Source organism: Homo sapiens, chromosome 13 (assembly GCF_000001405.40).
Source record: "Homo sapiens chromosome 13, GRCh38.p14 Primary Assembly".
Taxonomy (NCBI): Eukaryota; Metazoa; Chordata; class Mammalia; order Primates; family Hominidae; genus Homo; species Homo sapiens.
In genome coordinates this window covers 113,579,483-113,594,952 of record NC_000013.11, presented here as the reverse complement: position 1 = coordinate 113,594,952, position 15,470 = coordinate 113,579,483, and the positions used below count along the sequence as shown (strand labels likewise).

The 15,470-nt window shown below is 54.3% G+C and overlaps 1 protein-coding gene across 25 annotated transcripts in view, besides 5 other annotated features; it reads right to left on the bottom strand.

The window, feature by feature from the left end:
* Nucleotides 1-10,265, bottom strand: part of TFDP1 (transcription factor Dp-1) — a 56,786-nt gene extending 46,521 nt beyond the window's left edge. For 5 of the 25 annotated variants that reach the window (NR_026580.1, XM_017020717.2, XM_005268327.2 and 2 more), the window contains exons 1-2: nt 10,223-10,265; nt 9,104-9,179 (exon numbers count right to left, since the gene is read on the bottom strand). Coding sequence is in view for 24 of the 25 variants with exons in the window: in XM_017020717.2 (XP_016876206.1) it covers nt 9,104-9,115 (12 nt within the window). In the remaining variant the exon portion in view is untranslated. Of the gene's footprint in view, nt 1-9,103; nt 9,180-9,275; nt 10,201-10,222 lie in introns of those variants that run through there. The other 20 variants (XM_047430554.1, XM_047430561.1, NM_007111.5 and 17 more) reach the window with 11 other exon arrangements.
* Nucleotides 7,828-8,428: an enhancer, noted in NCBI's record as "H3K4me1 hESC enhancer chr13:114240840-114241440 (GRCh37/hg19 assembly coordinates)". NCBI's record gives its function as "activates a minimal SCP1, AML or CMV promoter by ChIP-STARR-seq in primed H9 embryonic stem cells {active_cell/tissue: H9 hESC(primed)}" and the evidence as "EXISTENCE:reporter gene assay evidence [ECO:0000049][PMID:30033119]".
* Nucleotides 9,368-9,737: a silencer, noted in NCBI's record as "silent region_5550". NCBI's record gives its function as "represses an Ori minimal core promoter by ATAC-STARR-seq in GM12878 lymphoblastoid cells {active_cell/tissue: GM12878}" and the evidence as "EXISTENCE:reporter gene assay evidence [ECO:0000049][PMID:35858748]".
* Nucleotides 10,108-10,437: a silencer, noted in NCBI's record as "silent region_5549". NCBI's record gives its function as "represses an Ori minimal core promoter by ATAC-STARR-seq in GM12878 lymphoblastoid cells {active_cell/tissue: GM12878}" and the evidence as "EXISTENCE:reporter gene assay evidence [ECO:0000049][PMID:35858748]".
* Nucleotides 10,406-11,377: an enhancer, noted in NCBI's record as "H3K27ac-H3K4me1 hESC enhancer chr13:114237891-114238862 (GRCh37/hg19 assembly coordinates)". NCBI's record gives its function as "activates a minimal SCP1, AML or CMV promoter by ChIP-STARR-seq in naive H9 embryonic stem cells {active_cell/tissue: H9 hESC(naive)}" and the evidence as "EXISTENCE:reporter gene assay evidence [ECO:0000049][PMID:30033119]".
* Nucleotides 11,378-12,351: an enhancer, noted in NCBI's record as "H3K27ac-H3K4me1 hESC enhancer chr13:114236917-114237890 (GRCh37/hg19 assembly coordinates)". NCBI's record gives its function as "activates a minimal SCP1, AML or CMV promoter by ChIP-STARR-seq in naive H9 embryonic stem cells {active_cell/tissue: H9 hESC(naive)}" and the evidence as "EXISTENCE:reporter gene assay evidence [ECO:0000049][PMID:30033119]".

Here is a 15,470-nt window from a genome sequence, read left to right as displayed (position 1 = left end):
CAGGCATATGCTATGAAACCCTAACAATTCAGCTCACATATGAACGTGACTTCATTTTCTTCTTTTTGCTTTCCTAGAATTTTTCCAAATTTTCTGCAACTAAGATTACTCTTATAATCAGAAGAAATATTACTTGAACTTTTTTTAGTAAGTCATATTATTTTCTTGTGGAAAGTCTACTTAATGGATACAATTAAAAAGCAACTGCGACAGAAAAGCCCGCTGGTGCAGCAACCAGCACACGCAGGTCACTCAGTAACACAAGGATTCCATGTCCACTGGGAACGGGCGGCACCCACAGCCCAAGCCTGGGCACAGCTGAGGACCAGCACACGGGACACCTGTCACCTGGGCAGGGCTGAGGACTCATGCACACCACACCTATCACCTGGGCAGGGCAGAGGACCCACACACAGCACACCTGTCACCTGGGCAGGGCTGAGGACCCGCGCACACCATACCTGTCACCTGGACAGGGCTGAGGATCAGCACACAGCACACCTGTCACCTGGGCAGGGCTGAGGATCAGCACACAGCACACCTGTCACCTGGGCAGGGCTGAGGACCCACACGCATCACGCCTGACACCTGTGTATAGCTGAGGACGCGTGCACAGCACACCTGTCACCTGGGCAGGGTGAGGACCCACACACAGGACACCTGCCACCTGGACAGGGCTGAGGACCCACGTACACCACACCTGTCACCTGGGCACGGCTGAGGACCCGTGTACACCACACCTGTCACCTGGCTGGGTGAGGACCTGCACACAGCACACCTGTCACCTGGGCACGGCTGAGGACCCGCGCACACCACACCTATCACCTGGGCAGGGCTGAGGACCCACGTACACCACACCTGTCACCTGGGCACGGCTGAGGACCCGTGTACACCACACCTGTCACCTGGGTGGGTGAGGACCTGCACACAGCACAACTGTCACCTGGGCAGGGTGAGGACCCACACACAGCACAACTGTCACCTGGGCAGGGTGAGGACCCACACACAGCACACCTGTCACCTGGGCACGGCTGAGGACCCGCACACACCACACCTGTCACCTGGACAGGGCTGAGGATCAGCACACAGCACACCTGTCACCTGGGCAGGGCTGAGGACCCACACGCATCACGCCTGACACCTGTGTATAGCTGAGGACGCGTGCACAGCACACCTGTCACCTGGGCACGGCTGAGGACCCGCGCACACCACACCTATCACCTGGGCAGGGCTGAGGACCCACGTACACCACACCTGTCACCTGGGCACAGCTGAGGACCCGTGTACACCACACCTGTCACCTGGGTGGGTGAGGACCTGCACACAGCACAACTGTCACCTGGGCAGGGTGAGGACCCACACACAGCACACCTGTCACCTGGGCACGGCTGAGGACCCGCACACACCACACCTGTCACCTGGGCAGGGTGAGGACCCACACACAGCACACCTGTCACCTGGGCACGGCTGAGGACCCGCGCACACCACACCTGTCACCTGGACAGGGCTGAGGATCAGCACACAGCACACCTGTCACCTGGGCAGGGCTGAGGACCCGCACACACACCTGTCACCTGGGCAGGGTGAGGACCCACACACAGCACACCTGTCACCTGGGCAGGGCTGAGGACCTGCGCACACCACACCTGTCACCTGGACAGGGCTGAGGACCCACACGCATCACGCCTGACACCTGTGTATAGCTGAGGACGCGTGCACAGCACACCTGTCACCTGGACAGGGCTGAGGATCAGCACACAGCACACCTGTCACCTGGGCAGGGTGAGGACCCACACACAGCACACCTGTCACCTGGGCAGGGCTGAGGACCCACACACAGCACACCTGTCACCTGGGCAGGGCTGAGGACCCGCGCACACCACACCTGTCACCTGGGCAGGGCTGAGGACCCACACGCATCACGCCTGACACCTGTGTATAGCTGAGGACGCGTGCACAGCACACCTGTCACCTGGGCAGGGCTGAGAACCAGCACACAGCACGCCTGTCACCTGGGCAGGGCTGAGGACCAGCACACAGCACACCTGTCACCTGGGCAGGGCTGAGGACCCGTGCACACCACAACTGTCTCTTGGGCACAGCTGAAGACCAGCACACACCACACCTGTCACCTGGGCAGGGCTGAAGACCCACAGACACCACAACTGTCTCCTGGGCAGGGCTGAGGACCAGCATATGCCACACCTGTCACCTGGGCAGGAGGGGAGGGCCAGGGATGTGTTGGCAATGCTGGATTCTGGGCTGACCCATTCAGGTTTCTGACCCTCTCCTGCTTCCCCATTCACTGGAGCGGATCACACTGTCTCTTTTCCTCAGACCCCAGTGACGCGATGTTAATGAACAGAAGACCAGGGTGCACAGGGCAAGCACCTGTGTTAAAAGATACTGTATCCCAAAGCCACAGGGGACACACAAGGTTTTCATTCATCAGACCAGAATCCCTTAGAAACTGGACCATAGAAAAACAGGATTCATGGCCAGGCGCGGTGGCTCACGCCTGGAATCCCAGCACTCTGGGAGGCCAAGGCGGGCGGATCACCTGAGGTCGGGAGTTCAAGACCAGCCTGAGCAACATGAAGAAACCCCGTCTCTACTAAAAATACAAAAAATTAGCAGGGTATGGTGGCGCATGCCTGTAATCCCAGCTACTTGGGAGGCTGAGGTCAGAGAATCGCTTGAACCCGGGAGACAGAGGTTGTGGTGAGCCAAGATCGTGCCATTGCACTCCAGCCTGGGCAACAAGAACGAAACTCCGTCTCGAAACAAACAAACAAACAGGATTCACATAAAAGACTAACGGGAAGAGGCAGATATAACTCTTCATCCTTGAGTCTCAAAATTACCTGCAGCACATGTGAATAGTGCCCATGACCTGTGCGACAACTTAAAAGCCATAGTCCCTGTCCTCACAGGAGCCCTGAAGCGGAGTCGGGATGCTGCGGGAATCTCAGCCAGTCGGGAAAAAGGTACAAAGGGCGGATGCTTTTCCAGGCTTGGGCTACACACAAAGATACAGAGAGCAGTGCATGGCCAGTACCCGAACAACCAGAATCATCTGAGTAAGACACCTGGGGGATGAGGGGTCACCTAATTCAGCCTCTAATTCAGCCAACGCTGACATCTGCCCTTCCCCTCGCAGATCCATCCCCACACGTAGTCTAAGCCACCTGCTGCTACCAGTCCTCCTCTCTAAGCAAAACTTGACAAATCTAGTCTCTTATGACAAACAGCAGAAAGCCACACTGTAAGTCAAGCTAAATATCAACTGCAAATCTGGATTTTCTAATTGTTCTACAACAAAGTATTTTTTAATGTAAATACCAAGAGTGAAAAGTTTTTAACATCCCCTAAAGAGCACCTGATACTTCTACTGCAAATCGAGCTGTGCACCAAAGGTGAGGTTTCCAATTCTTACACAACGAACTCCAGAGATTTCTTCCAAATACCAAAAGTAAAGAGCTAACAAAGAGCTGATTATGTAAGAAAAAAGATGTCCTTTTTTATTCTTTGAATTTTATACCAGATGTTCCTATAATACCTCTTTTAAAGCATGTTTTAGGGGCAAAACTTTTTTCTTTTTTTTTTTTTTTGAGATGAAGTCTTGCTCTTGTCACCCAGGCTGGAGTGCAATGGCGTGATCTCGGCTCACTGCAACCTCCGCCTCCCGGGTTCAAGCGATTCTCCTTCTCAGCCTCGAGAGTAGCTGGGATTACAGGCGCCCGCCACCACGCCCAGCTAATTTCTGTATGTTTAGTAGAGACAGGGTTTTGCCATGTTGGCCAGACTGGTCTCGAACTCCTGACCTCAGGTGATCCACCCGCCTTGGCCTCCGGGATTACAGGCATGAGCCACCGTGCCCAGCAGGGGCAAAACTTTTAATTAACCTATAATTTTCTTTTTCTTTTTTTTTTTTTTTTTTTTTGAGACAGAGTCTCGCTCTGTCGCCCAGGCTGGAGTGCAGTGGCGTGATCTCTGCTCACTGCAAGCTCCGCCTCCCGAGTTCACGCCATTCTCCTAACTCAGCCTCCCCAGTAGCTGGGACTACAGGCGCCCACCACCATGCCTGGCTAATTTTTTGTATTTTTAGTGGAGAAGGGGTTTCACCCTCTTAGCCAGGATGGTCTCAATCTCCTGACCTTGTGATCCACCTGCCTCGGCCTCCCAAAGTGCTGGGATTACAGGCGTGAGCCACTGCGCCCGGCCCAACCTATAATTTTCTAATTTTTAATATCCCTTCAGAGTTTCTCTAACCTCATCCTATGTAGAAAAAAAAAATCCTGAAATATGAAAAGACTCTTGTAAAAACAAGCACGTCATCATAGATTTCTTCAACACTTAAACCTGAGGGGGCTAAACTGACAACCTTCTTAACCTCAAATGTAAAGTTGTTTCTTTATGAGGACAAAAGAAGGCCTGAGTCGCTGAATCCTGTTCCCAGAACTCACTCCTTCAAGCACTGAAGGAAACAGCAGTTTGTTGCTGCATCAGGTTCACCTCTTCAGGCCTGAACTTCACCATCCAGGTCTGTAAAAGGACACCTGGTGGTAGACCCTTAGAGGAGCTCATTGGTCCCCTCTTGGCATTAGCAGAGCCTCGTGACAGCATCACTCAAACGCCTCCATGGTGGGACGCACACAGTTCTCTTGGTCCCCAGCTCTCAATTTCAGGATTTCCCCATAAACTCACAGGACACAAACAGGCACCACAGAACGGCTTTCACAACCAAGGCACGTGAATACCGGGCAGTGACGTCCACAGCCACGTTCTCTGCACAGGGAGCTGACCAGGTCCAAGTGCCCGCACAGCCCAAGAGCGAGTTCAGATGCCCTGCATCTTTACCAATGGCAGGAGGAGCTTGGAGAGGCGAACGGGACCCCAGAAACAGCCCCACACGGGCTACATCCCGAAGTCTTACAGCAAAAGCATCCCTGTAATGTTTGATGAATTCATCATCTGCCTGCCTTCCCACTTACAAACTTTCATGACACTGGACAATCGTGTGTGACGACAGGATGTTCCGAGGTAGGGAGGGGAGAGGCAGAGCTCTGCCTGATCCCACCAAGGGTCATGCTGCCTGGGCAGGCAGGAAACTTGGCCGCAGGCTGAGATGCCAGTGCCAAGCCACACTCCCTCACCCAAGGGCCCTGCCAGCCCAGCTCTAGAACAACTTGAGCCCCTGCAGCTGGACTGACTCGTGACAAGGGTCTGTCCGACTCTAAGGAGGTGCCAAAGCACCTTCCAAGACTGAATCTGAGGACGGTTCCGAGCACCACCGGTACCTGCAACGGGAGCCCACAGATCTGCGGGTCAGAGCCACCCTGTTCAGGAACCAGAGGACAGCCTCCCTAGGCCCTGAGGCGGAGGGCCTGAGATGTTTCGAGGACAGTTCAGAAACTCAAAGAGTCTGTACGGACCTCCCAGGGTGTCTCCAAACTTAAGACAGGACTGCACCTGAGGCTATCACAGACCGGGTGGGCCAGGCATGGAAACAGACAGTCCCCACAGCAAGGAAATCCTCCCCATATTGCCAGGAGCAGCCCATAATCTTGATCATAAATTTCTGTAAGTGATCCATGCTATGCCAGCGCTCCTGCTGGGCAAGACCAGGCCTCAGGTTCCCGGAGCCAGCCAGGTGGCCGTATGGCAGCTGACTCCTGTTCTCCACATTCTCCCACTTAACAGAGTATAAACACAAATATTCCATTTGAATTTACCATTTTAATTCAAATAAGTGCAATAAAATAAAAAGTCCCTGAGCAAGACAACAGAAACCTAATCCTTCTCACCATTTCTCCAGCTGGGCCCACTCAAGGACCATCAAAGGCAGCCACCTTCTAGGCTGTTTCCTCCTTCTGTGACCCTACATCACCCACTCCAGCACCGCCACTCACTCTCCACCCACAACACCATCACCACACTCACTCTCCTCCAGTCTACCACCATCACCACTCACTGTCCACCCACAACACTACCATCACTCACTCTCCACCCACAACACCATCACCACACTCACTCTACCAACTCCACCATCACCACTCACTCTCCACCTACACCACCATCACCACTCTCTCTCCCCCAGTCCTACCACCACTCACTCTCCATCCAATCTACCATCACCACTCACTGTCCCCGAGTCTACCACACTCACTCTCCGTCCAATCTACCATCACCACTCACTCTCCACCACTCCAGCACCACCACTCACTCTCCATCAAGTCCACCACCACTCACTCTCTAACTACTACACCATCACTGATCACTCTCCTCACTGCTCCACAGTCATTTCCTACCCACTCTGCAAACTTTTCAGAGTACCTCTCTCCTCCCTCGTGTGTAGCTCCTTGCCATATAGACCTTCACACCCACTGCCTGTCAACTGCTGTTCAAAGATGACACCCCCAGAGGACTGACCTCATCCTCTTCTTTCTGCCCCTCACTCACATGGAGCCATTTGTGGCCTTTTCCCACCCGCTTGTCTCCCTGTGCCCTACTTGAGGTTGGAAGCTCCGGAGTTGTTTTTCTCTTGTGTTCTCTCCAGAACCTTCCAGCCTCAGGTCTTGGATGTCCTTGTTTCTCCTCCTCCATGGTGACTACCAGGGCCTAGCTCCAGCTCCCTGCATCCTGTGGCCCCTCATGGCCCTCTACAGAGGCCCCAGGGCACTTAGAAGCTGGAGGCCTGCCTCCTTCAACCCAAGTGGCACAGCTTTCCCCCAGCATAAAGGCTTTTGACATACACCTGTGGTTTTACTGCAGTACCAGTGCTTTTAAAAACCTAACTGGTGGGCTGGGCACAGCGGCTCACGCCTGTAATCCCAGCACTTTGGGAGGCCGAGGTGGGTGGATCCCCTGAGGTCAGGAGTTCAAGACAAGCCTGGCCAACATGGTGAAACCCCGTGTCTACTAACAAAAAATTAGCTGGGTGTGGTGGCGCGCCTGTAATCCCAGCTATTTGGGAGGCTGAGGAGAAGAACTGCTTGAACCCAGGAGGCCAAGGTCACAGTGAGCTGAGGTCGCGCCATTGCACTCTAGCCTGGGCAACAAGCAAAACTCCGTCTCAAAAAACAAAAACAAAACACCTAACTGGTTATCGATGTTCCCTTCTGCAAAAGCTGCCAACATCATCTTTTCAAAACTCAAATGTCACACCTCTACTTAAAAGAGTTAGCTAGGCCGGGCGCGGTGGCTCACGCCTGTAAGGCGGGTGGATTGTTGAGGTCAGGAGCTCGAGCCCAGCCTGGGCAACATGGTGAAACCCCATCTCTACTAAAAATACAAAAAAATTTGCCAGGCATGGTGGCACATGCCTGTAATCCTAGCTTCTCGGGAGGCTGAGGCGAGAGGATTGCTTAAACCCAGGAGACAGAGGTTGCAGTGAGCCAAGATCGCGTCACTGCACTCCAGCTTGGGAGACAGAGTGAGACTCTGTCTCAAAAAAAAAAAAAAAAAAAAGAGCTAGCGAAAACATCAAATTCCTTGACTTGTTCACAACCTCACTTTCCATCCAGACCCAGCACTCCTGACCACTCCCAGGCTTTGAGCAGGGAAGGCCTCACCAGCTGCAGAATCCTACTCTCCTCCCAGCGCCAACCCCCAACTCAGATCACAACCCCTGAGTGCAAGGTGAGCCCCCAGCCCCTGTGCCTATGCAGTTCCTGACAAATGCTGCGTCTCAGGTGCCCACACTGGATGGAGCATTCAGGGTCCTGCAGAGCCGGACCACCTTTCCACACGCCCCCCACCCCCAGCCTCACACTACATGCTGCTCACAGACAGTGCCAGTGAAATCACGGGGGAATGAAAGAGGGCCCCGAAAACACCATCCATTATGTATCAAAGCGTGTTTGAGAACCATCTGAGGAAACCACACAGGAAACCACACAACACCAGAAGCGTGCTCTAACCGAGGCCCTGGGTCCAGCTCCTCACCATGAGGAGATGTAATGAACATGGCTTGCGCGCTGAGCACATGCCCACATCTGGCATTCTGAGTGCATGCCCGCACGAGGTCAGGGCATGGTACGGACAAGCACAGTGGAGAGGATAAAAGTAGTCTCGCAGCACAGCCAGATATGACTTCAAAAACTCACACTGGGTCCACCTGGGTGCTCACACACCCTCTCTAAAGGGGACCCCAGTGCTTGAAGGCAGGGATGCCGTGTGACATGCCTGGTCGCAGGTCAGGGAGGGCAGACACCCCAAAAGGCCTCGCAGGGACCACTGAAACCTCTGCGCCAACGGAGAGGGCTCCACACTCTGGACGCATTTTCGCTACAGATGTATCTCAGGCAGAGGCAGCATGTGCGGACTCTTTCCAACTCTGTGCGGTAAGTAGGTAAACACATCAACAGCACCTTTCACTCAGTTACAAAACGATGCACGGTGGGAAACACTAAAGAATCCAGCTGGTGTTTCAGTGACTGACATAACCAAGCACGGTAAAGAACCGCACACCAATAAAATAGACTAAATTTCTGGCTTTAAAAAATTTTCAAAATATTCTATAGTTTCATGACAACTGCAAAGCAGGCTAAGTAGCATTTTTTACCAGATTTCATAAATCAGGAAATCTCATCCTTCTGAGAAAAAAAGTGGCCAAAACAAGTCCTTAGCTCTTGGTCCACCCAAGTGGAATTAACTTCCTCTGTAGGAAGACAGGTGCCAGCAGGTGGCTACAGCCTGAGCCCTGAGCCTGGCCCCCGTCCAGCGTCTCATGTGGAAGCCCCCCAAGAAATGCAGGATTCGCTGCGGTGCTGCAACACCCTCCACCTCAATTTAATTAAGGCGTTTATTTAAAATTATCAATTAACACAGTCGGTAAAGATAAGGAAAAAGTCAGAAGGCACCACCCCATCACCACCCAACTGCAGTGTGGTATCCAAGGCCACAACTTGTGGGTGGTGACCGCAGCTTCAGAGATCAGATCCTTCCATCTTTCACCTTCATCCCGCTTCAGACGCTTTAAAAGTCTGAAAATAAACACTACTGTAGCTTATGTGTTGTCATTCTGAAATAAAGGCAGAGAACTACAAAGAATTTAGTGCGAGGCAAACATTCGTGTGCAGCATGAAGCAAACATACTTACATCTTTTGCCATGTTACCAGATCCGGGAAATCAATGCTACAAATGTTCACCTTCCCAGAGAAGAAAAATGATTTTTCTGGTAAAAAAAAAAAAAAAAGTAAGGAAAAACAAGAAATAAGTAAGAATGAAAAACGAAGTTTAAAAAATAACACATCTCAAAGGAAACGCGGACCTTCCTTCCCAAAGGCACCCTCCATCCTGAGAGCGGAGCTGGCCAAACCGACTCCCACACTCAGGATTTTCAGTCGCCTCGCCAGACGGAAATGCCCCCTGCGGAAAAGTGGCCCGCGGGCCCGCAGGGTCACCACCACTACCCCCAGGTCCCCGACGGCCCGCCCAGCGGCCGAGGGTGGGGCCGAGCCCCAGGAGCCAGGGCGCAGCGCCTCCCTCCCGCCGCTGCAGGGGGGTGCCCCACCACCCACCTGGGCACAGCCCCGGGGTCCCGGCGCAACGTGCAGGCTCGCGGCGTCCACCCCAGACCCCGGCGGCGCCCGCCCGGCTGACCGGTAACTCTGACAGGTGGGCTTCCGGGGTCCGCGCCGCGCGCCTGTCACTAGGCCTCGGGCCGCCTCCGCACGAGGCGCCTCCCGCGCGCGCCGGAACCGGGTCCCCGCGGGCCGCCGTGGGGCGGCCTCCCCTCCCCCGCCCTGCGCGCTCCGGCCGACCCTGGCCCCAGCCCCGGCCCCGGCCCCGGCCCCACCTCCAGCGTGGGGCGCGGACGCTGCTGTCGGCCGGGAGGGCCGGGCCCGGGACCCCCGCCCCGCGGTCACCTGGGGAGCCCCTACCAGCGCCGAGCGCGCGGGGTCCCCGAGGCACAGGAGCGCGCAGGGCGCGGGAGGGCGCGGGTCGGGGCCGCGCGGCGCCTACACGCGGCCGGGGCAAGGGATGGGGTGGCCGGGGGTCCCGCCCGCACCCCCGGCTCCCGCCCGCGGCTCCCGCGGCATCCCCTGCCCACCCGCACCTGGCTGCCCGGTCCGGCCGCGCGGGCGGGGACGCGGAGAGGGCGCGGTGCGGAGCGCGGGGCGGCGCGGAGAGGCGCGGGCTGGGGCCGGGCCGGGCGGTCCCGGCCGTGGCGGGGTCCCTGCCCTGGGCCGAGTGGCGCCGGGACGCGGGGCTCACCCTGGCCGAGCGTCGGGCCGGCGTGACGTGCGCGCGGCGCGGTGACGTGGGCGGCGGCGGGCCCGCTCCGCGCAGCGCGCCTGCGCGCCTTTTCGCGCCTTCGGCGCCCTCCTCCTCCTCTTCTGCTGCTCCTCGGTCTCCCGCTCCTCCCGCCAGTGCTGCGCGCCCTGGGAGAGCGGGGAGGGGCTGTGCGCGCGTGTCCGTGTGTGCGCGTGCGCGTGCGGAGATGTAGCTGGGGCCTGCGCCGGGACGGGCAGTGCGCGCGCGCGGCGTGCGCTCGGCGGCCAAGGGACTGTGTTTGTGCGCGCCTCTGACTGTGTGTGTCCGGAGAGAGAGGTGGCCGGCTGTGTGCAAGAGTGTGTGTGCACATGGGGGAGCGGGGCCGGCTATGTGCACGAGTGTGTGTGCATGTGGGGGAGCGGGAGCTGGTGTGTGCACGTGGGGGAGCGGGGCCGGCTGTGTGCAAGAGTGTGTGTGCACGTGGGGGAGCAGGGACTAGTGTGTGCACTAGTGCATGTGCACGTGAGGGAGCGGGGACTGGTGTGTGCACTAGTGTGTGTGCATGTGAGGGAGCGGGGACTGGTGTGTGCACTCGTGTGTGTGCATGTGAGGGAGCGGGGACTGGTGTGTGCACTCGTGTGTGTGCATGTGAGGGAGCGGGGACTGGTGTGTGCACTCGTGTGTGTGCATGTGAGGGAGCGGGGACTGGTGTGTGCACTCGTGTGTGTGCATGTGAGGGAGCGGGGACTGGTGTGTGCACTCGTGTGTGTGCATGTGAGGGAGCGGGGACTGGTGTGTGCACTAGTGTGTGCATGTGAGGGAGCGGGGACTGGTGTGTGCACTAGTGTGTGCATGTGAGGGAGCGGGGACTGGTGTGTGCACTAGTGTGTGCATGTGAGGGAGCGGGGACTGGTGTGTGCACTCGTGTGTGTGCATGTGAGGGAGCGGGGACTGGTGTGTGCACTAGTGTGTGTGCATGTGAGGGAGCGGGGACTGGTGTGTGCACTAGTGTGTGTGCATGTGAGGGAGCGGGGACTGGTGTGTGCACTAGTGTGTGTGCACATGGGGCAGCAGGTAGGGGGCCGGGTATGTCAGGATGTGTGTTTGTGTGCAGGGAGCAGAGAGTGCCGGCTGTGTGCGCGAGTGTGGGGGGGGGAGCAGGGACTAGTGTGTGCAGGAGTGTGTGTGCACTTGGAAGAGCGGGGCCGGGTGTGTGCTTGAGTGTGTGTGCTCAAAGAGGAGAGCCAGCTGTGTGTGCGCCTGTATGCACGGAGGAGAGGGGGCCGCTTGTGTGCACGAGTGTGTGTGCACATAAAGGGCCGACTGTGTGTGGGGCTGTGCATGTATGGAGAGCAGGTGTGTGCATAGACGTGTGTATGTGGACACACGGAGGAGAGCAGGTGTGTGTGCGTGCGTGGCACAGAGGCCTCTGCCTCTGCTGGACCCGGTGGCCTCCAAGCCCACGACGGGCCTCCGCCCAGATTCCCAACAATTCTGGGCGTCCTCGGTGCCCACCGGACGCAGCCTGGCCCGGGACTCGGGAGGGAAAGCAGGGACAGGAAAACTCCAGAAACAGTTTCATTGCATGGTGAGCCTGGTGGTCCCGGAGTCTTGGAGACTTAATCCACCCTGGAGGGCCCCGCCGCTAGGGCCAGGCCCGAGCACCCCAGCCAAGGGCGGGCTAGGCCAGAGAAGAGTCCGAAGTTCAGGGCCACAGCAGGCGGCAGAGGCTGGTGCGCGCCGAGGGTAAGGAACATCTACAGAGGACTTGAGGAGCTGACCAAAGGCCTCTCTGCCTGTGCGGTGTATTATTACATGACAGCCCACTTTGCACGTTTTATGCTGATTTTGGCCACTCCTGCCCCTCAGGCAACGCCGCACCCCCTAAAGCTCTGGTCACTTGGCTTAAACTGCTTACAAGTTAGCACCCGTTTCTTCTTTGAAGACTACCAGAAACGCTCACTTTCTGCGAGCTGGTTCACACAAATAGATACTTAGAGAACACTGATGTTCCTCAAATGGCCCTATCTTCCTAGGTCCGTTCCTTCTGTTTCACAGGGATTCTTTATGTGTTCCTAAATGTCAGTATTTGAGCCCTGATGGCAACAGTGACACCCTCCCAGCCTCTGGGGACTTCTCCCTGAGACCTGGGGGCTCCAGTTAGGAGGATACACACGTAGGGTCCAAAATTGGGGTCTTAAACGTCTTCCCCACAAATTCAGGATTCTGATAATTCAACAATGTTTATATGGCTGATAACTAATATTATTCAAAGAAGTTTCTGCACAAAAATCACTGTACTGAGATACTCCGAACGCGCACGAGGCACTGCGGCAATGAATGCTCACGGTGCTCTGTGTGGCTTAGGAAAAGGGCAAAAAGTTACTCCCTTTTTCCTCTCCATAGCCACATGTTCCACAGAAAGCCCTCGTTTCTCTTAACAAAAGTTAACAGAATTCCCTCTAAAATTTTGGTTGATGATCCAAATATTTTTAGCCACTGCCTTGCCTTGCAGTCTCTCGATTGGGTTGCTGAAATGCAAACTTCCTAAATAAGCCCATAACCCTCGGAATTTATCTAAGCCTTTGGCCTCCCTGTATCTCTGGAGCCTGGGCTGTTTAGGAGATAGGGTTCTTTGAATGATGCACTCGTTCAGGTGTTGACTTGCACCACATGCCAGAGGCTGGGTTCAGCCCTATGGTTGGGGCCAGATACTGTCTTGTTTTGTGCATGTGGGCACCAGATTCAGCTACCGTCCCAAATATTACATGGAAATGGCCTGTGCTGTGTTTTACTAGAAGTGAACGTGTCCTTCCCAGGAAAAGTCTTCATCTCGCAAAAGCTGTGTGTGTGTCTGCTCCAGAGTCTCCAGGCATGGTGCAAACTCTCCCCACCAATTCCACACCCCCATTAAACTGTCCTCTCTTTCAGAGAGAGAGAATTTTCTAACCCTGTTTTAATTCTAAATCTGCTGATTACATATCCAGATTGTCTTTTGTTTCCCTCCTCGATGACATTGGTCTTTTCTCCAACCATCTCCTATTTTCTGCCTTCTTCCATCACTATGGCAAGAGGCCTTCAGTGGGAGGACAAGCAGGAGGCAGGGACTCATGGAATTTATGGGGAAAGTTAAAAAATAATATTCCTGGATATGCGTAAATGGCATTTTCTTGATCTTTAGTAAAATGTCAATAAAGGCATCTCTAGAAAACTTTGCTCTGTGTATTTGAGTGTATCATAAAACACAGGAAAATCTGTGCGCTTTCCCAACCTCCAGGTCTGTCCCGTGTGGCTCTCCTTTGCTCTCACAGATCAACACTCCTAAGTCCCCCCACCACCCCCAGACACAAAGACATTTTTTGTCTCTCTCCTACTGCGTTATTGCTCCTTTTTAAAATTCCCGGTCAAATCCCAAGTTCTCCCTCTTGGAAGGAAAGTCAGTTGTGATCCTGCCACATTAGCATGCTATAATATTATTTCTGTCTTAAAGACTGTCGCATTCATTTATAGTCTGAAACCACAGTTCTTTCAAAATCACCCCTTGGATCTGACAAATTCTAGAGGATCATATCACCAGATTTATAAAAGTTGAATTTACCCGAATCAACCAATTTTGCCTACTCCTTAGACATGTTCCCTTGCTTTGATCTGGATTCTTTTCTGGCTTTTGTGATGAGAGACCCCTTGGTACCTTGGCCATTGACTCCGAGATTCTCCTGAAGTGTGCCTGCCCTGCGGCTTGCTTCGCTCTGGCTAAGATGATGTCAGGTGATGTCCTGTGGAGTCCCATGATTTCAGGTTGAAAGATCTGTGTTCTCCTGGCGTCATCTCCTTTCCCCATAGCACCCATTTGTCCTCAGCCCAAGGTGAAGCCAGCACCAGGAGCCTACAGAGTAATTTTGTTTGAGAAATGTGGCCTCACATGCAATTGAGTGCCTTTGGGCATTTTTGTGCTGCCTGCCCACTCCTCTTACGGATTCACAGAAGGATCTTAGCATCCACTGACACCAATGCTGAGATGATGGGGCACCACATCACTGTGGATAAGTGATCTTAGCCTCTGTGATGGGCACGTTCCTTTAACTGAGAAATACGTGGATAAAAATATAGTTTGTTAATAAGAAGACGAAACCACAGTTTCGAAACCCTTGCCTTCCCTGCATTCCTCCCTCCGCAAGCATTTCTGAGCTCCTACTAAGTGCCAGACACAACTCTGGGTGCTGATATTACGCAGATTAATAAGAGACTGCCCAGAGTCAAACTGGAGAGACAGATGCACCTGCAATTATAATGGATGTGACCTGGTGGGACAAGCTCATATTCACGATTGGGAAGGGGGGTATGGAAGCACAGAACAATGATTTCTCCGTGCACACAGTTGGCAACACTTCATGGAGAAGGTGACAATTGAGAGAGACTATGACCAGCTGAGTACACAGGTGTGTCTGAGTGTGTGTGTGTGTGTGTGCACAAACAGAAACAGATCAGTTTTGGAAAATGCTCTTAGCAGTTTGTCCCATTATCCAGAACTTAGCTCATGGCCACATTGACCTAGAAGATGCTGGAAATAGAGTCATTACCCTGGGCCATATGACTGCCTAAGCATTTAAAGATCTACAAAAGAATAACGTGGAGAACAGATATTGGGAGACAATTGGCAGTTTCTTCCGATTGATGAAGAGACTCATGTTTCAGAGAGGTGAGGAGGATCGGTTGGAGAAAGACATCTGAGATAGGACATCAGTCAGAAGATGAAGAACCAAGGGTCCTGATGCAAACAAACCAAGGCCAGCATGAGCTGAAAGCAGGCCACTGCAGGATCAGTGCTAATCAAGGTGCTAGCTCAGAAACGACGCAGCAGGCCGGGTGCAGTGGCTCACGCCTGTAATCTCAGCACTTTGAGAGACAAGGTCTCTTTTCGAGACCAGCTGGCCAACATGGTAAAACCCTGTCTCTACTAAAAATACAAAAAAAATTAGCTGGGCCTGGTGGTAGGCACCTGTAATCCCAGCTATTCGGGAGGTTAAGGCAAGAGAATTGTTTGAACCTGGGAGGTGGAGGTTGCAGTGAGCCGAGATCGCGCCACTGCACTCCAGCCTGGGTGACAGAGCAAGACTCCTTCTCAAAAGGATTAAAAAAAAAAAAAAAAAGCAATGCAAGCAAGAACCAAGCAGCCAGTCCAGACAGAACCAGGACACTGAACAGATGCTAGAATGACTCTGCGCCAGATCTCATCAGAGCCCTGTGC